The 19,931-nt window shown below is 37.9% G+C and overlaps 1 protein-coding gene, 1 long non-coding RNA gene and 1 pseudogene across 17 annotated transcripts in view; 1 reads left to right on the top strand and 2 right to left on the bottom strand.

The window, feature by feature from the left end:
- The window catches only part of PLS1 (plastin 1), a 117,272-nt gene that overhangs the window by 38,907 nt on the left and 58,434 nt on the right, over positions 1-19,931 (bottom strand). For 14 of the 16 annotated variants that reach the window (XM_011512903.3, XM_047448323.1, XM_047448324.1 and 11 more), the window contains 3 exons: positions 10,451-10,556; positions 5,205-5,368; positions 3,636-3,765 (listed from right to left, as the gene is read on the bottom strand). In XM_011512903.3, coding sequence (XP_011511205.1) covers positions 3,636-3,765; positions 5,205-5,368; positions 10,451-10,520 — 364 coding nt within the window. In that variant the 5' untranslated portion in view covers positions 10,521-10,556. Of the gene's footprint in view, positions 1-3,635; positions 3,766-5,204; positions 5,369-10,450; positions 10,557-17,577; positions 17,862-19,268; positions 19,352-19,931 lie in introns of those variants that run through there. The other 2 variants (XM_047448325.1, NM_001172312.2) reach the window with 2 other exon arrangements.
- On the bottom strand, positions 916-1,156 carry RN7SKP25 (RN7SK pseudogene 25; annotated as a pseudogene).
- PLS1-AS1 (PLS1 antisense RNA 1) overlaps positions 17,948-19,931 on the top strand; it is a 60,902-nt gene continuing 58,918 nt past the window's right edge. Inside the window, exon 1 of the long non-coding RNA XR_001740938.2 lies at positions 17,948-18,200. This is a non-coding gene — a long non-coding RNA (PLS1 antisense RNA 1). The remainder of the gene's footprint in view (positions 18,201-19,931) is intronic.

Genomic DNA, 19,931 nt, shown 5'->3' with positions numbered 1-19,931 from the left:
GACTCTTGTCTCAAAAAAACAAAAAACGAAGAAAAAATTGACACAAATCTAGATACCAGCACTATCTTTGGCCATCTTCATCCAACAACTTCTCAACACATGGCTTCTAGTATGGGTACATTGATCTTAAGTAGAAAATTTTGTTGGGTTATGCAGTGGGGAAAATAGGAAGGAACTTAAAGTAAAAACATTGTACAACTTTATTATTATTCTGTAGATATAAAAACCATTTAAGATTATAAATCCTTAAAGTAAATAATCCCCATTTCCATCAGAGGGTAGCACATAATGATTTGGCCTTCTCCATTGTTGCCCCAGTTCCTAGAATTAAGTAATTTTCCCAAGGGAATATTTTGCAGGTACCCCCAAAATTTAATCCACCACACATACATACACACACAAGTCAACAAAAACACAAATATGTACTAATATTTCCTCTTTGTACATATCATAATCTGCCTTATCTTCTCGCCTCCTCATACACACCTCCTTAGAAGGATTTGGAGTCTAGGAATTCAGAGATCACTAAAATACTGTATCTGCCATTGAGGAATTTTTTAGTGTAATTGTAAAACAAATATACAAAGAAATGTGATATAAGGGAAATACACACACCACCAGAAATATATATGCAATGTTTGCAGAATTTAAAAAAAGAAGCAATCACTTTTAGTTAGGGTGATCAAGAAAAGGCTTCATAGAGGAGGTACTATTTGAAATATAGTTTTTCAATAGGTGAATATAGGCAAGGAAAGAAAGGATGTTTCAGGTATAGGAACCAGGAATGAGATACCACATCACAACCACTAGGATGGCTGTAATTTTTTAAATGGACAAAAACAAGTGTTGGTGAGAATTGAAGAAACTGGAGCCCTCATACATTGCTGGTGGGAATGTAAGATGGTGCAGCCACTTTGGACCTTGAGAGCTTGTTTGGAAGTTCTAGCAGGGGAGTGCAGCTACTCGTATACCCTTGACCAAAGACCAGTCCTCTTCTATTGGGATGGTTGTCCTCTTCAACCGAGCACGCAGCTTCGGGAAGGACTCACATGGAGCACTGAGGGAGGAAGGGGACACCTGCCTAGCCAGCCAGATCAGCCAAATCAACCCTGGCAATCAATGGGGTGACAGATGTCGCAGCCAGATCGCCCTCACAAGTGCAGCCACTTTGGAAAACAATTTGGCAGTTCTTTAAAAATGATAAACATAGAGTTAACAAAAATTCAAGCAATTCTACTCCTAAGTATATGCCTACGAGAATTCAAAGTATATGTCCACACACAAATGCATTCATGAGTGTTCATATAGCATTATTTATAATAGCCAAACACTAGAAACAACCCAAATGTCCATCACCTGATGAAAGGATAAACAAAATGTGGTATTGCCCATAGAATGGAATATTCAGCAATAAAAAGGAATGAAGGGGCCAGGTACCATGGCTCACACCTGTAATCCCAAGGCAGGCAGATCGCTCGAACCCAGGAGTTCAAGATCAACCTGGGTGACATAGCAAAACCCCATCTCTACAAAAGATAGAAAAATTAGCTGGGCATGGTGGTACACATTTGGGAGGCATGGTTATGCACTTGGGAGGCTGAGGTGGGAGGATCCCTTGAACTCTGGAGGTCGAGGCTGCAGTCAGAAAAAAAGGAATGAAGTATGATATATGTGACAACATGGATAAGCCTTGAAAATATTACACCAGTGAAGAAGCCTGTCAAATGAAAGGCCACTACAGTATGATACCATTTATATGAAACTTCCAGAATAGGCAAATTTGTAGAAATAGAAAGCAGTTTAATGGTTGCAGAGCCTTCGGGAAGAGGGAAATGGGGAGTGACTGATAATGAATATAGTGTTCTTCTTTGGTGTAATGAAAGTGTTCTGAAATTAAATAGTGATGACAATTGCACAACTATGAATACACTAAAAACTACTGAACTGTATACTTTAAAAATGTATTCCATGGTATGTCAATTATATCTCAATAAAGCTGCTATTTTTTATAAAAGCCATTAAATATTCCATATATTTTTCTAGAGAATAGTTATATAGGTGTATTCATAGGTTAAAAGAAATCATCAAGCCATATACTTAAGAATAGTACACTTCAGCCTGGTGTGGTGGCTCATGCCTGTAATCCCAGCACTTTGGGAGGCCAAGGCGGGTGGATCATGAGGTCAGGAGATCGAGACCATCCTGGCTAACACGGTGAAACCCTGACTCTACTAAAAATACAAAAACATTAGCTGGGCGTGTTGGCGGGCACCTGTAGTCCCAGCTACTCAGGAGGCTGAGGCAAGAGAATGACGTGAACCTGGGAAGTGGAGCTTGCAGTGAGCCGAGATCGCACCACTGCACTCCAGCCTGGACGACAGAGCGAGACGCCATCTCAAAAAAAAAAAAAAAAAAAAAGTACACTTCATGCACTTTACTACAAGTATCTTATACCTCAAAAAATAAGTAAACAAAAATTTATGGTGACAAATATCAGAAAAGAGGTTACCTCTAGGGAAGAATAGTTACTATCAGGGGAATGAGGGAGTCTTCAGGTGATGAAAAGATTCCATGTCTTGTTCTGGTTGGCAGCTACATGAATGTATATACACATGGAAAAATTCATTGAGCCATATACTTAAGATTATAGCACTTTGCTGAATGTGTATTATACCTTAATAATTTTTTTTTGTCTTTAAAAAGAAGCCACTTCAGTAGAATTGACAGGCAGAAACTGGGTTAAGGGGTGAATACCTTTCAAAAAGTGAAGGTAACAGTTATGGACCTTTGCCTTTATGGCTGCTTCCCTAGTGGGAAAAAGTTAGGAAAAACATATAATAGATGAGAGAAATTTGAGTGTATCGCTAGAGGAAAATCCAATTAGGAAGGGACAGAATCAAGAGGATAATTAACAGATTCAGATCTGAAATGAAGAAAGAGGGGAAAAGGTTACAGGTAATTTTGTCAAAAGGCCAAAAAGCATAGTTCTAGTTATGTTCATATAAATAAAAAGAACTTGGCCAAAGGTTCTTAGACATCTTAGATAACTTAACACGGGGAAGACACCTCATCTTAAAAGTTGATATGCTTCTGCATTTCCCACTGGGCAATGGTCCAGTGGTTTAATCAGATCAAGCAAATCAGGTGCTATGCTCTCTAGTCACTTGGTTACTAGATAAAAGGTGAATCGGGTATCTCAGATCTCAGAAAATGGAAGAGAAAAATCCTTGTGATAGAAGCCTCTCCCCCATTCCTAGCTCAGGTCTAAAAGTAAAGCCACCTCATCAGTCAGGATGAAAAGCCATTGAAAAGCCACTTTTAAATACATCTAATGCTGGAGTATAAACAACTTCCACTTTGTTGTTTATAATCTTGTTTCTGTAGACTGAGCCTGATACACAGCAGGAACTCATTGATTTCAATGATTCTAGGATTTTTCATTTTGACATCTGTGAAACTGAGATGTATTTCAAATTCAATGGCATGTTATACTGTGGTCTGCAGTATTTTTTTCTCCTCAGTGGCACATAAAATAACGGTATGAATCACAATGAGTGGCATCTTAGAACTGATTAAATATGTCACTTAATCAATGAATCAGTGACTAAAAGATCAAATTTGGAGAAGTCAGTTACCTGAATAAGAATGCTGTGTGCCCTCACTGGAAATAGTTGAAGTTCCTCCAATAGCAGTAATCCCTTCCCTCTTGTTAATTATTTTTCGGAATGTTTTGCTGATATCTTTGCTTTTTAATTCTTGCATTAGCTGGAATGGAACATAAGTAAAATTGAGAATCAGATAATCAATAAAAACCTGACAAAATGGATATTTATTTACACTTCTTTATTTGAAATGACACCAAATTAAATACTAGTCAGTTGTACTTATTGCTTGTATACACAGATAACTTTCATCATTTTACCAATAACACAAAATAGACAAATACTTGAACCCCAAACGGTGGAATAAATTTTTTATAACTAAGCTTAAATTGAACACACTGAAATTATTCTTCTTGGCTTGCCATAATCTTTTGTACTGAAAACCTAAGAAATAACTAACTACATGCTAAAGATAGAAGAATGCCTTAATGAAGATATTTTCCTGCCTGAACATCTCAAATGCATTCATGATAAAATAAGTCAGCTCTTAGAGGAAATAACATAGGCTTACAGAAACTCCCTTTCCCAATCACTCTCTCACTGGACTCACCAGAGATTGGCAAGACTCAATTCAATCAGTTCTGCTTGCAGCAAAGTGATTGGGTTTTTTTTTAAATGCAAATCTGATCTTGTCACTTCACATTCTATTCTTCCCACTTCATTGTCTTCCTATTGCTTTTAGGATAAAAACAAAAATTCGACATGGCCCTGTGTGACCTGATTCTGAGTTACTTCTCCAGCTACATTCCTTACCCTTACCATCTCAGCTCCAGTCACACAAACCTTCTTTCAGTTGCTTGAGAATATTCACCATCTCTAAAGCCACAGGGACTCTACACATGCTGTCATGTCTACCTGCCTCCTACATTATTCATTTTCCCACAACCCACTTTTATCTGTTTAACATCTTTCTTCAGAACACATCACAGTCTTCACACTGTAGGGATACCTTCCCTGAGTCCCTGGGTTATCCAGCCTTGCCTCCAAATTCAATTCCTTCTACCACAAACTCTCACAGGACCTGTACCACTCTGTCATAGCAATTCTCCAATTATCTTTTATCAATTTGTGCAATGCAGTCTTCTCCACACATATAAACTCCATGAAGACAGGAATCACGTTTCTTTTTACTCATCACATTACTCACAGTGCCTAGCAAAATTTCTAGGAAGAGAAGAGCTAAAATACCTGCTTAATCAATAAAGAATGCAAAACCAGACAATTTATATTTCATAAATATTTATTCAATTATATTAATGGTCAATAAGCATTGAACTCACCTAGTTATTCTAGGGAATGAATTACTATTATCTAAACCTGATTTCCATTCCAACAATTTGAGAATAATTTTTTCCTTTGTTTTATGAATTAGTTGTGGAAATTATTTCGATAATAATAGTTATTGTCATCATCATCATCATCATTTTAAAGCAGTCCTTTTTCTGGTCTCTGAAGCTGGATTTAACCAAAGCTAGTGATGACATTACTACAATTCTGCTCTAAGCAAGATTATCAGTAGCCCGAAAGGATTAGATTACTTACTGACACAAACTCTTCAAAACTGATTTTGCCATCTTTGTTGCTGTCAGCAACTGATAGAATTTTCTCCACAATCTCGCGCACCTTGTAGCCAGGCAGAGGAAGGCTTGCTTCCTTAAACAGGTCTTGAAGTTCATAGTCACTGACATACCCACTATTGTCAATATCTGTAAAGATATATTATAAAATATATTTTGTAATCTTTGTTGAAGGTGTACAATAAGGATGCCTTTTGGGAGGATTCATAGATGTGCAGACAGAGCCTTTCACATTTGTTTCACAGGTGGCAGTAACCTTTTTTCCTGTACCTGAACTGTACAGAATATGCTATATGCTTTATTTTAAAAACTCGTATTTAAGCCAGGCTTGGTAGTTCCAGCTATTTGGGAGACTAAGGTGAGGGGACTGCCTGAGCCCAGGAGTTCGAGGCTGTAGTGAGCTATGATCGCACCACTGCCCCTCAACTTAGGCAATAGAGTGAGACCCCATCTCTTAAAAAACGAAAACAAAAACAAAACAAAAACTTTGTATATATTTAAATCGAGTTTATCCCCATAGATTTAGGGCCACCATATATATTTTAAGGGTATTGTTGCTCTGATAGAAAACCCAGTTTTAGCACATGACTAAGCATCAAAGAAATAAGCATGGGGGGGGCCAGGCGCAGTGGCTCACACTTATAATCCCAGCACTTTGGGAGGCCGAGGTAGGCAGATCACCTGAGGTCAGGAGTTTGAGATCGGCCTGGTCAACATGGTGAAACCCCATCTCTACTAAAAATGGAAAAATTAGCTGGGCATAGTGGCGGGCACCTGTAATCAAAGCTACTCAGGAGGCTGAGGTAAGAGAATCACTTGAACCTAGGAGGCAGAAGTTGCAGTGAGCCGAGATTGCGCCACTGTACTCCACCCTGGGCAACAAAGCGAGACTCCATCTCAAAAAAAAAAAAAGGAATAAGCATGGGGAAGTCACAGATAGCTAAAAAGGGAGCACCCACTCAGACTTTAACTTCTTGAGGGAATTTAGAAAATAAATCTGCTGACCCCACATTCCATATAAAATACATGCGCTGTGTAAAATACGCATAAGGCATTTGTGTTCTACGTTTCATTTGGTGGCAGTTCTGTTTCATCTGTCAATAATTCATTGCTTCTTCATTATGTATTCATGATACCATTACGTATGCTGAATCATGCTTGATGTCATTTGAGATTAGGTGTTCAAGAAATTCACACCTATATTTGGACTTTGGGAAACAGGTTTCCAGGTGTTTTCATGTCATGGCATCATTGAGAGATGCCCTTCCCTAGGTTTTCCCTAGAGGCCGGGTATCACTTCTTGACTCAGAACAAAGGCAACACAAAACGCTTCTGCCCAGAGTTGACAGCAGAGCTTTGCACTGTTTTGTTGCCTGGATCCACCTTGTATAGGCTCTCTTTGCTCATCTGCTAATAGCTGCTTTGTTTCCTATATTTCTTGTTCTTCTTAATAAAAGAGCTGCTATACTAACTGAATTAATGGTTAGGATAGAAACTTTTCTTTGGAACTCTCATATGAAAGTTTTAGAATTAATACTGTTCAGAATGATAGAATATTTCTAAACTAGAACCACCAATAACCAAAATATTGGTATAATTGCAAAATTCAGCTAGGAAGCTAAGTTGCTTGATATTGCAATAATATTGCTTTCTTTGAATTTAGAGAAAAATCTCATTACATGACCAGTTCAGAACTGTTTCCCATAATTCTGAAATACACACATAGATTAGGCTGGCTTATTTCTAAACCAGCATAATAGCAGGAAATATTTTAAAATAAACAAGACTGAGGAAGTTATTTGCCTAATAACGATCATGTTAAACTAACAGGATTAGTTAAGAGCTAGGATTCTGAAGACAGATATGGGGGCTTAAGCTCCCAGGCTCCATCCCTAGGCCCTCTGTGGTTTTGGTGTGACATGACAAGAACTAATAGAAACCATCTAATGCACATATATGCTTAGCCAAGTGACTTGTTAAGAACTTGACTTATCTCATGAAATTGTTTTTTTCTTTTTTTCTTCGAGACAGAGTCTTGCTCTGTCGCCAGGCTGAAGTGCAGTGGAGCGATAAGAACTTGACTTATCTCATGAAATTCTTTTTTTGAGTCGGAGTCTCGCTATGTCGCCAGGCTGGAGTGCAGTGGTGCAATCTCAGCTCACTACAACCTCTGCCTCCCAGGTTCAAGCGATTCTCCTGCCTCAGCCTCCCAAGTAGCTGGGACTACAGGTACATGCCACCACGCCCAGCTAACTTTTGTATTTTTAGTACAGATGGGGTTTTACCATGTTGGCCAGGATGGTCTCAATCTCTTGACCTTGTGATCCGCCTGCCTCGGCCTCCCAAAGGGCTGGGATTACAGGCGTGAGCCACCGCACCCGGCCATCTCATGAAATTCTTACAACAACTTTGAGGTGGTTACTAATGTCATTCCCATTTTAAAGGTGAGGAAATAAAGGCTTAAGTTAAATAACCATAAAGATCACAGTTTGAAAAGAAAACAGGACTTTCTTACAACTCGACAACAACAACAAAACAACGTGATTCAAAAATAGGCAAAGGGCTTGAAATGACATTTCTCCAGAGAAGATATACAATTGGCCAATAAGCACATTAGATGCTAAACATCACTAGTCATAAGGAAAATGCAAATAAAATGAGATACTACTTCACACCTAGGAGAATGCTTATTATCCAAAAGAACAGAAAACAAGTGTTGGTGAGGATGTGAAGAAAATGGAACCCTGGTACACCACTGGTGGGAATGTAAAATGGTGCCTCCACTATGGAAAACAGTATGGTAGTTTCTCCAAAAATTACATATGGAATTATCACATGATGTAGCAATTCCGCTACTATGTTTACACTCAAAATAATTGAAAGCAGGGACTTCAACAGGTATTTGTAGACCCATGTTCATAGCATTATTCACAATAGCCAAAAGGTGGAAGCAACCCAAATGGCCATCAGTGGATGAATGGATAAGCAAAATGTGGCATATACATACAATAAAATATTATTCAACCTTAAAAAGGGAGGAAATTCTGACACAGGCTACAACATGGATGAAGCTGTTGATGAGGACATTGTGCTAAGTGAAATAAGCCAGTCACAAGAAGACAAATATTATGTGATTCCACTTATGTGAGGTACCTAGGGTAGTCACACTCATATAGAAAGTAGGATGATGGTCACCTGGGGCTTGGGAGTTATTGTTTAATGGATATGGAGTTTCAGTTTGGGAAAGGGATGGTGGTGATGAATGTAGAACAATGTGAATGTACTAAATGCTAATGAACTATACACTTAAAAATGGTTAAAATGGTAAATTCTGTTATGTATATTTTACCACAATTTCAAAAAGAAACAATACAGAGAAATATTTCAACTTCCCCCTTCTCCCCAGTGGCCCCCAAATACTCCATCTAATAACATTGGATGGCCGTGTTCCTCTATCCTTGAGAAAAGTGTGCTACAAATTAGCAGAGAGGTTTCTGAGTTCACAGAGTAGCAGTTTACCTCCTAAATAAAGTCAGCAAGTACCTATTCTGCTAGTGTTACTGCTTTGCTCAAACAGAACAAATTATCTTGCTCTCAAAATTGTTCCATCAAGGACCTGCTTCTGGGTTGGGGTTTTGTACCTAGCAGAGCAGCTCCCTCACTACAATCTATTGAAAGTCAGCCCTCAACACAAGGTTTTGTTAAAAAAAAAAAAATTGTTCCATCAGTGAATTGTTTATTCAATATATCATTAAATAAATATTGCAAGATTATATTAATATGTTCATGAGTCAAAGATTAAAGTTGTTGTGCTAAACAAAGCAAATATATTACTAATTCATTTATTTTACCAAGACCTGGGTAGAACTTTTATTCAAGCTACAAAACTGCATCTATAAAATAACAGAAATATCAAACTACGAGATACATTTTTATTACTTCCTCTGTTTCAATGCTCAGAATGAGCAGAACATTTCAACAATTGCCCAGTTTTTGTTTTGAAAAGATTCTGGACACTACATACAATTCTCTATAAAATGTATGATTGTTTTCTGAAAATCATACCATATTCATACAATGCTCTAATGACAAATATGCCATTCCCAGGGAGAAATGGAAGAGCCCAGAGATTTGTAGAATTTAGTTTACTTTATTTCACAGTAATGATTTGTAAAACATGAGCTTCCTGAGTTTCACAGTTTTTTGGTTTTTTTTTTTTTTGGAGTGCTTTTTTTTTTTAAACATATCGTTTTTCTTTGTATTGGTCAATAAAACTCATGTTGCATGATATTTTACTCACATTAATTTTAGTCGTTATTAGGTTTGTGAGAAATCTAAGCACAAGACCAGCGGTGATCATTTTCTCCTCCCTGATCTACCATATGACTGTTTTTCATGGAGGGCTCTATTACACTAGAGAATGAGCTTGATGAGTAAGGGGCAAACATAGTGGTGTCATTATCCCAATGTCTATTCACTGTGCTCACCTTTCACTGGGTTCACCTTTCACTTGCATGCATTTGCAAACTAAAGCAAAAAAAAAAAAAGGTATTTATATTCTCCTGTTTACCATGGGTTTCCTAAGAGCAAATTGCAGAAGAATTGAGATCCAACAGAGTATGAGGAAAATTTTTTGGAAGAAAAATACAAAACTGTCAAAATGATAATGTCATAAAGACAAAACACTAAATGGCTATAAAAAGTGAAAGAAGAAAAATAAGGCATACGGCCTTTAAAAACAATACTAAGACTTTCTAAATTATGCATGTGGGAGAAGGAAAATAAGACATATGGCATTTAAAAACAATACTGAGATTTTAAAAATATTCTGCATGAAGTCAGAAAGTGTTATTGTTAGTGCAAAGATGTGAAGGCCAGAGTTCAGTTTATACACAAGGAAGTATTTTTATATTTTTTTCTCTGTAATAAGGATACCGTGTAAAGTGTATTCAGTTACATTGTCATTCATTAACCTGGATTACTCTCTGCAAAGAAATGATCAAAGAATTCAAAGTCCAATTCACCTAGAAATTCAAGCTAGTCGTAGCTTATCTTTCAGAAAGAAAGAATCCAGTGAAACCTAGATAGAAAAAAAGGAATAAATCTGGAGGTAATTGGGTGGTGGTAGATGAAATAAAAGGTATTTTTCCATTCCTGAAGTCTGACATCAAGCAGACCAGTAATATCATATTTACTTTTTCTCAAGCATACCTATTTTATTAAATGCCTCTTGTAGTTCTTCAAGCTCCTCCCGAGAAATGGTAGTAGTACTGTTTTCCATCTTTGGACAGAAAAGACTATCTTCAGGTCTTTATATCTAGAAAAAGCAATATTATAAAAAAAGCATGAAGCCTTTGGAAACATTTAACTAAGCAATATAAGGTACAGAGGAAGTACATTCTCTAGGAGGAATTATCTATGAGATCTGGCTGACAAAGAACAAATATGAGTAGGTCCCCTGGTAACAATCTCTCAGCATAGGCCAGCCAAACTATAACTGAGACTCAGTAAGGGGAAGAAACACCTATTTTTCTCACCTTGTGCTTTTACACAGATATTTCTCAATAGCCTAATGAATTAATAATTTCTATTTGCATTTTACCCCACGATTTCAAGAAAATAAGCATTGCATTTCAAGTTTGAGAAAAGTATAGCATTTATAAATGTACAGCATAAGGTCAGAAAGTAAAATTTTTTAAGACACGAATAATGTCTACAAAAAAGGTGAATTCAGCATCTGCTTATCTTATAATGGGATTTGTGGTTTTAACATTCAGCTTTACAATATCCAACCACTGCCACATTCTTTCCCCTACCCCATGTGAAGTCTCTGAGGGTCTGTGGGGCTCTTCTTTTTTATGGCATGATTGTGGCTCACTGCAGTCCCGAACTCCTAGGCTTAAGTGATCCTCCCACCTCAGCCTCCTGAATAGGTAGGACTACAGGCATGTGCCACTGTACCCAGCTAATTTTTTAAGTTTTTTGTAGAGACAGGATCTCACTATGTTGTCCAGGCTGGTCTTGAACTCCTAGCCTTAAGCAGTCCTCCTGTCTTGGCCTTCGAAAGTTGGGGGCAAGGGGGCTTTTGTATTCTGAGTAAGACAAACTAAAGAGGAAAAAATTATGTAAAACTGGGCTATAGGAAAAGTCACAAGGTGGTGTGTGTTCACTGCAGAAAATAATTGATAATGAATGTCCCAAACAGAAAATTAACATTACTCATAATCCTTCTATCCAGAAATATCAACAAATATAATTTTGTTGTCTTTATCCTTCTGACCTACTTTCTTTTTTTATTTTTTCTGCGACAGAGTCTCACTTCTTCACCCAGGCTGGAGTGCAATGGCACGATCTCAGCTCACTGCAACCTCAGCCTCCCAGGTTGAAGCGATTCTCCTGCCTCAGCCACCCCAGTAGCTGGAATTACAGTCATGTCATGTGCCACTATGCCCAGCTAATTTTTGTATTTTTAGTAGAGACGTGGTTTCACCATGTTGGCCAGGCTGGTCTCGAACTCCTGACCTCAAGTGATCTACCCACCTCAGCCGCCCAACGTGCTGGGATTACAGACGCTGAGCCACTGAGCCCGGCCCCCTTCTGACCTACTTTCAAAACACATGTGTACCTTTTTGGGGGTGAGAACAATGTGACCATACAATATTATAACCTTTTTGTTGGTACTAACACATTGTCACTATGTTTTCATGTTGTTCATCAACATAATACTTAATGGCTACATATTACTATATCATAACTTATTTGGTAAATCCCCTCTTTCAGAGTATTTGTACTGCTTCTAATTTTTCATTACAAATAATGCTTCAATGAACATCCTTGCAGATAAATCTTTGTTCTTCTCCATGTTTATTCTGTGTGATAAATATCTAAAAGTAGAATTACTTACATTTTTAAGACTTCTGATATCTAGCAATGCAACTCTTATTTATTTTTATTATACTTTAAGTTCTGGGATACATGTGCAGAGAACATGCAGGTTTGTCACATAAGTATACATGTGCCATGGTGGTTTGCTGCACCCATCAACCCACCATCTACATTAGGTATTTCTCCTAATGCTATCCCTCCCCTAGCCCCTACCCCCCAATAGACCCTGGTGTGTGATGTTCCCCTCCTTGTGTCCATGTGTTCTCATTGTTCAACTCCCACTTATGAGTGAGAACATACAGAGTGAGAATGGTTTTCCGTTCTTGTGTTAGTTTGCTGAGAATGATGGTTTCCAGCTTCATCCACGTCCCTGCAAGGACATGAACTCATCCTTTTTTATGGCTGCATAGTATTCCATGGTGTATATATGCCACATTTTCTTTACCCAGTCTATCATTGATAGGCATTTGGGCTGGTTCCAAGTCTTTGCTATTGTGAACAGTGCCGCAATAAACATACGTGTGCATGTGTCTTTATAGTAGAATGATTTATAATCCTTTGGGTATATACCCAGTAATTGGATTGCTGGGTCAAATGGTATTTCTGGTTCTAGATCCTTAAGGAATTGCCACACTGTCTTCCACAACGGTTGAACTAATTTACACTCCCACCAACAGTGTAAGAGTGTTCCTATTTTTTTTAAGTGAAAGCAAGTTTATTAAGAAAGTAAAGGAATAAAAGAATGGCTACTCCATAGACAGAGTAGCCACAACTCTTATTTTTAAAATGACTTAGTGGCTTTTCTATTCAGTGTAAAGCTAAAGATGAATACGAATTATATTGTATTTCTCATAAACACTTAGTTCTATCAGACAGTTAATATGTGCCTCAGAAAATAAGTGAAAACAAGTGCTTTATAAAACAATAGGAATTGAAGCTAAGTGGAAAATCCTCTTTTTTATACACTTTTATAAACTTGTATTTATATAGAAGGTTCAATATCATCCCTAATTTTTCAGTGAAGCACATCAATTTTCAAAATAATTTATTCACTGAAATTTCATTGATCATTGAAAAATTAAATTGTGTGAAGCCCTCTAAGAGTATGGCTCATTTGTGATCTGTACACAAATTTATTCAGGAATTTTGGTGTTCTTTCAAAATCACAGATTTCTATCTCTTACAATTTTTCTGGGGCCTGGTTCTAATTAAATGTGCAATTAATCTTTTGGTCTTATTTTAAATATACTATTGTCCGCTATTTAATTCTACATTGTTTTTTAAAAAATTCTAAAGAGCTCAAGTCAGTAGAAAAAGGAGTAAATAGAAGTCATCTTACTCCCCAGATGCAGTTTCTTACATCTTAGCATTAAATACTCATTTCATTGGATTCTCACCTTTAGAAAGCTTTACTATATTTAAAACTATTTACAGACATTCTTATTTTGTGTTCAAAGAGATTAAATAGTTTTTTTAGGATTGTTAAGCATAATTCCCTGGGTCTGCAAAATGCTACTTGTGGTGTGGCTGGCTTTGAATCTCTGTGGTTTCAGTCATCCTGCATATCCTTTCCTGTATTCAAAATGCTTTCTATCCCTTGCCTCAAGTTTTAAAAATAGGGGCCCAATTTTAGCATTTGCACTCCACAGAAAGGCTGCAAATTAACAGTGTTTGTGTTGACCTTGCATTTGAAATGATAAAAATAAAACTGGGGTTATATTCTTTGCTCATGCCTATTCAAATTTATATAATTTGTTAATTACATAAAATGTTTTTAGTCTCCTATAACCAGGCAAAAGCACCATGTAAACTTATCAAAAAAGCAATTTACCCATACAACGTTGTTTCCTATCTTTAAAGCTTTGTTTTTATAGCTAATAAGTGTAAAGATGTTGCTTTGAATCCTTTGGCATTGAAATGAAACAAACAGAAAAATATAAAAGGATCTTCAAGATTGTATACAGACAGCTCCTAACTTACGATGATTTGACTTAGAATTTTTCAACTTCACAATGGTGTGGAAGTTACACACAGTCAGCAGAGAGCGGTATGATACTCTCACCATGCTGGGCAGAGGTGGTGAGCCACGTTCAGCCATACGATTACAAGGGTGAACAACCAATACTCTACATTTACCACGTTGTCAGAAAGTTTTGCCCAACTTTAGGATACTGTAAGCATTCTAAGCATGTTTAAGGTATGCAAGGCTAAGCTATGACGTTCACTAGATTAGGTATACAAAATATATTTTTTACTTAGGACGGGTTTATTGGAATGGGACTCCTCTAAGTTAAGGAGCATCTGTACTCTCAAAAAAACAAAACAAGATACAGAAAAGTAAGTGTGGCAGGGAGAGTGATGGTATCAGCTGTATGTTTATACAACATTTTCTGGAAGGGTACAAAAAAATGGTAACAGTTGTGATTTTTACGTTGTTAGTCTCATGGCAATTCAGGGTTGTTTCTATTGCCTTTTTTTTCCTGAAACTGTTCTAAGAAGGGTTTTAGATTCTGCCAATCATAAACAACTGCTCGGACTAACTTTGGTAAACTTTTAAAAGGCTCAAGGAAGAAATCTGAGGGAGGATAAAAGATCAAATCCAATTTTATCTAAATTTTCAAAAGTCTCTTTTAGAATGTGCTTCTTTAACTTTCCAAATATATATTTGGTTGTGTCACGGTATACTTGAGGATTAGGCAAGGAAAAAAGAGGCTTTAATTGATGAAAGAAGGTTCCACTTAAAATGATTCGTGCTTAAAGTGGAAGTAAATTAGCCAGGCGTGGTGGCACACACCTGTAATCCCAGCTATTCAGGAGGCTGAGGCAGGAAAATTGCTTCAACCCAAGAGGCGGAGGTTACAGTGAGCCAAGATCACGCCATTGCACTCCAGTCTGGGCAACAAGAGCAAAACTCCATCTCAAAAAACAAAACAAAACAAAACAACAACAAAAAAAAAAAAAGAAAAAAGAAAAGTGGAAGAGGAACTGATCCTCTAGGAGAAATGGAGACTGAGGCAGACTAGGAAGAGGCTTACTCTTCATTATATGCTTTTTGTATTCAGTTTTTTAGACTATCAGCCTACCAAAACAAACAAATAACTGAAAAGCAAAGGCAATTTTGGTAAAACATTTAAAAAAAATGAAACAAATACTAGTGGTCTAAAGATACACATTACTGAATACTGATAATGATAAAATTATATATACAGTACCTATAGTGACCATTTTAAATAAGAGCACCTATGTTTCTTTACAAAGCAAAATCTATGATTAAAATAGTGAAATAATTTATAGCTTTCCACAAAGGCACCTTTTCATTTCCCAGCTATTCTATTTTCCCATCTTCCACAGTGGCCCTGTCACAGGTCACTTGAAATTCTGACTTCTCAAGCTAGCCCCTGACTCGGGTCAGCCAGCTTTTCCCCTTATCCATCCTCCAAAATTTCCTTTTTCCTTTATTCTTCCTCGTCTAGAAATATGAAATATAATGGCAAATATTTATTGAGGGCTTTCAATGGGTCTGGAACTGTGCTAACCTCCTCACATGCATGAGCTCACTACGCATTTATCTGCTCTACTGATGGTACAAGCATCATCCCTTAAAAATGTATATTTGAGGCCTACAGAGATTAAGTGACCTGCCCAAGGAAGGTAGACAAAATAAGAGATTCAAAAGCAAATGTTTTTCTAGTGCCCAAGTTCTTAAGTTCTACATGTAGTTCAATTAGCATTCCTACTCTCTCACGGCAAGCATCATAACTAGTTTTAAAGAAAGGAATGATGACTACTTAACACTAAAATGTGAATAACCAGTAAACCAAGCCTGTAAAGTGTTAATTCTTCCAACTATATTTACATTACTATTTAATCAATATGTATACATCAGTAAAACAAATGAATCACATCTGTTTCTCAAAATCATACTAAATGAAAAAAGCAAACTGCTGAAGTATACATACAATATACTATTTATTATAAATTATAAAAACACAAAATACTATATATGTTGCTTATGATCCCATACCTATGTAGTAAAACTTAAACATACATGAGAATAACACAACAAATTCAGAATAGTGGTGGTCTATGTAGAGGGAGGCAAGGAGCAGGGCTTGCAGGGTAGGGCTGAATCTGTTACATCTTTTTTTTTTTTTTTTGGAGACAAAGTCTCACTTTGTTGCCCAGGCTGGAGTGCAGTGGCATGATCTCAGCTCACCGCAGCCTCTGCCTCCCAGGTTTAAGCAATTTTCCTACCTCAGCCTCCCGAGTAGCTGGGACTACAGGCACCCATCACCACATCTGGCTAATTTTTTTTGTATTTTTAGCAGAGACAGGGTTTCACCATGTTGGCCAGGCTGGTCTCTAACTCCTGACCTCAAGTGATCTGCCTGCCTCAGCCTCTCAAAGTGCTCAGATTACAGGCATGAGCCAATGTCCTCAGCCTGTTACATATTTTTTAAAGATACAGTTGAAGCAGTTATGGCAAAATGCTAATGTCTGCTCAATCTAGGAAGTGAGTACATGGACATAGGTTATATTGATTCTGTATTTTAGTCTTTTGCTTTAAATAATTCATATTATAAAAAATTATTCTTAAAGAGAAAAAAGGATGCTTCTTAATCCAAAGCCACAAGCCACTAATAAAGGAAAATCAAGCCATAAAAATAATAAAAAATAAAGATGACCAAGAATATGTTTTTGAACAGGGGAAATTTTACCAAGGCTTTAGGAAACTTAACTACTTCAATCTTGAGAAATTAAAATAATTAATATTATTGTGGGAGAATAATTTATTGAAATGTTAAATTGTGTTTATTCTTTTTCCTCCTCAATTAAAGCAATAACACACTGGGCGTGGTGGCTCACGCCTGAAATCCCAGCACTTTGGGAGGGCGAGGTGGGCGGATCATGAGGTCAGGAGTTTGAGACCAGCCTGGCCAACACAGTGAAACCCCGTCTCTACTAAAAATACAAAAATTAGCCAGGTGTGGTGGCACACGCCTATAGTCCCAGCTACTTGGGAGGTTGAGGCAGGAGAATTGCTTGAACCCAGGAGGTGGGGAGGTTGCAGCAAGCAGAGATCGCGCCACTGTACACCAGCTCGGGTGACAATGTGAGACTCCGTCTCAAACAAACAAAACAAAACAAAACAGCAATAACACTATAACACTTTCTTATCTGAGGGACTCTGGCAGCACAGAAGGCAAAACCAGGCTAGAATCTGTGGTTCCCTCAGTCTTTGGGAAGAAGCATGAACCTCCTAGAGGGCTTACTTAGGTTGGATGTCCTGGCAATCGGATCAGGGGGAAGAGGCCACCTCTGAGAAACCACTAGATGAGGAAGGCAGTGAGAGGGAAAGATTGCCCCCACAGGGAGGAAGGGAAATCTCTAGGTGCCAGCAAGTAAGACTGCTGCTTGCTGCCCTAGGAGTGGCAGGTGCAACAGAACCTCACCGGAGAGAATCTGCCGACTAAGCCAAGGGGTGTTTCCCAGGTAGCCACTGAAGACCGATGATGGAGAATAGAAGAGCTTCCTCTCAGCCTTTTGCTCTACATTAGACCCAGGACAACAGAGGCTGAGGAGCAGATTCCAGGTGCCTGAGAAAGACTTGGCAGTATTCGGGCAGGATGAAGCATGACAATAAAAATAAAGTTGCTTCAAAGAATATCAAGAAATGTGATCTTTCTTTTATCTGACTTTTATGGAAAAAGACTTGATAGTGTTCCTATGGAGAATTGACTGAGATCAGAGGTTCTAGAATATTTCAGTATCTCTGGTGAGTAGAAGTTCTACTGGTACCCCATGTCCTCTTCTTCTTTGCAAATTATTGTCTCTCTCACCACAGCCCTTCCCTTTTCCTATGTTACTTCCCATTTTCAGCCCTCCATTACAAGTTTACAGATCACAAGGTCACTGAAATAAATCACTATGTGAAAAAAAACAGCTATGAAATAGTTGAAGAATTTTCCTTCTAGTTTAAAGGAAAACCTGGAAAATATTTTCATCTATATGTCTAGCAATCTCCTTATTCAACAACATTTCACAACAGGGAGCTGTATCATTCATTTTGGAAAAAGTAAGTATTCATATTCCATATCAACCTGTCCATTTTTTATCAGATTTTCTTTAACTGGAATGTCTACTGACTGTTGAATATAAGTATGAATTGGGATATCATTTATTTTGTTAAATATTAGTCTCCTACTCTACATAACAGCCTTGACTGTCCTTTGGACAAAGGGTAAAATATATGAAAATGGTGCAATATAATTCAAAGATTTCCTGAGCATCCTTCAGCACTAAAATAACTGAGCTCAACTTTTTCATTCATTCACAAGGGACAGCTATGATAGAAAACTTTTCTTAAAAATTGGTCGAGTGCAGTGGCTCATGCCTGTAATCCCAGCATTTTGGGAGGCCAAGGCAGGCAGATCACTTGAGGTCAGGAGTTCGAGACCAGCCTGGCCAACATGGTGAAATCCTGTCTCTACTAAAAATGCAAAAATTAGCCAGGCCTGATGGCATGCACCTATAATCCCAGCTACTTGGGGGGTTGAGGCACAAGTATTGCTTGAACCAGGGAGGTGGAGGTTGCAGTGAACTGAGATTGCACCACTGCACTCCAGCCTGGGTGACGGAGTGAGACTCTATCTCAAAAACAAACAAAAAAAAGTAATTAATTTGATTGCCAACAGCCTGGATTTGCCAAATCCTGGGCTATTTTAAAAAGACAATTTTATTTTCAAACACATAAAATAATTTCCCACATGCTTAGACAATCCTAGAGACCTCGAGAACTTCAATTATGCACCATTATGAAGTGTTAAGCCAGGAACAGCGCACCGGGGGTAAAGTGACACTGGTTCCAAACTGACTAACTCTTTTGTGATCTTTTTTTTTTTTTTTTTTTTGAGACGGAATTTTGTTCTTGTTGCCCAGGCTGGAGTGCAATGGCATGATCTCAGCTCACTGCAACCTCCACCTCCCAGGTTCAAGCGATTTTCCTGCCTCAGCCTCCCTGGTAGCTGGGATTGCAGGCGCCCGCCACCACGCCCAGCTAATTTTTTGTATTTTTAGTAGAGACGGAGTTTCACTATGTTGGCCAGGCTGGTCTCGAACTCCTGACCTCAGCCGATCCACCCACCTCAGCCTCCCAAAGTGCTGGGATTACAGGCATGAGCCACGGTGCCCGGCTTGTGATCTCTTAAAGGGAGGCCTGACAATCTCCTACAAAAACAAAAAATAACAATACACTGTTATTTTAACATTGGGACTTTTTTCTGCTTCAGTCTTCCCAAGTATTTACCATTTCATTATACCCCACATTGCCAAATTAATGCGGTCTCTGTTCTCCACTCTCAACTTGACAGCTTGGAAGGCCGATTCCCCCATATCCTTAACGCCTTCCCATTGGCATAAGACTTCATCACCTCTGTCTTTTCCTTTGCTCAGTGTCTTCATTTCTTATGTATTATTCCGTTCATGTACATTAATTTATTCTTGGTTATGTGTTGTGTTGTAATGGTCTTATTTTGCTATTTTATTTTCATCCCACCTTCCTATCATTGTTTGCTCCTTGCAGGTAAAGGATATTTTATATTTTTATATTCCCACTGGCCTTGTGTTGTATATGTGGGGAAAGGTTAGTAAAATTCATTAAAGGTAATATTTCTCTAATATTTCTCTTCACAGAGCATAAGGAGTACTAGATAACAAAGGGCCAAATAAAACAACAGTTTATGGGAAATGTGCCACCAACTGACAAGAGGAGATGAAGAGTTTCTATACGTCAATAACCAGTTCTCTT

Source organism: Homo sapiens, chromosome 3 (assembly GCF_000001405.40).
Source record: "Homo sapiens chromosome 3, GRCh38.p14 Primary Assembly".
Lineage (NCBI taxonomy): Eukaryota > Metazoa > Chordata > Mammalia > Primates > Hominidae > Homo > Homo sapiens.
This window is presented reverse-complemented; position numbering and strand designations above follow the sequence as displayed.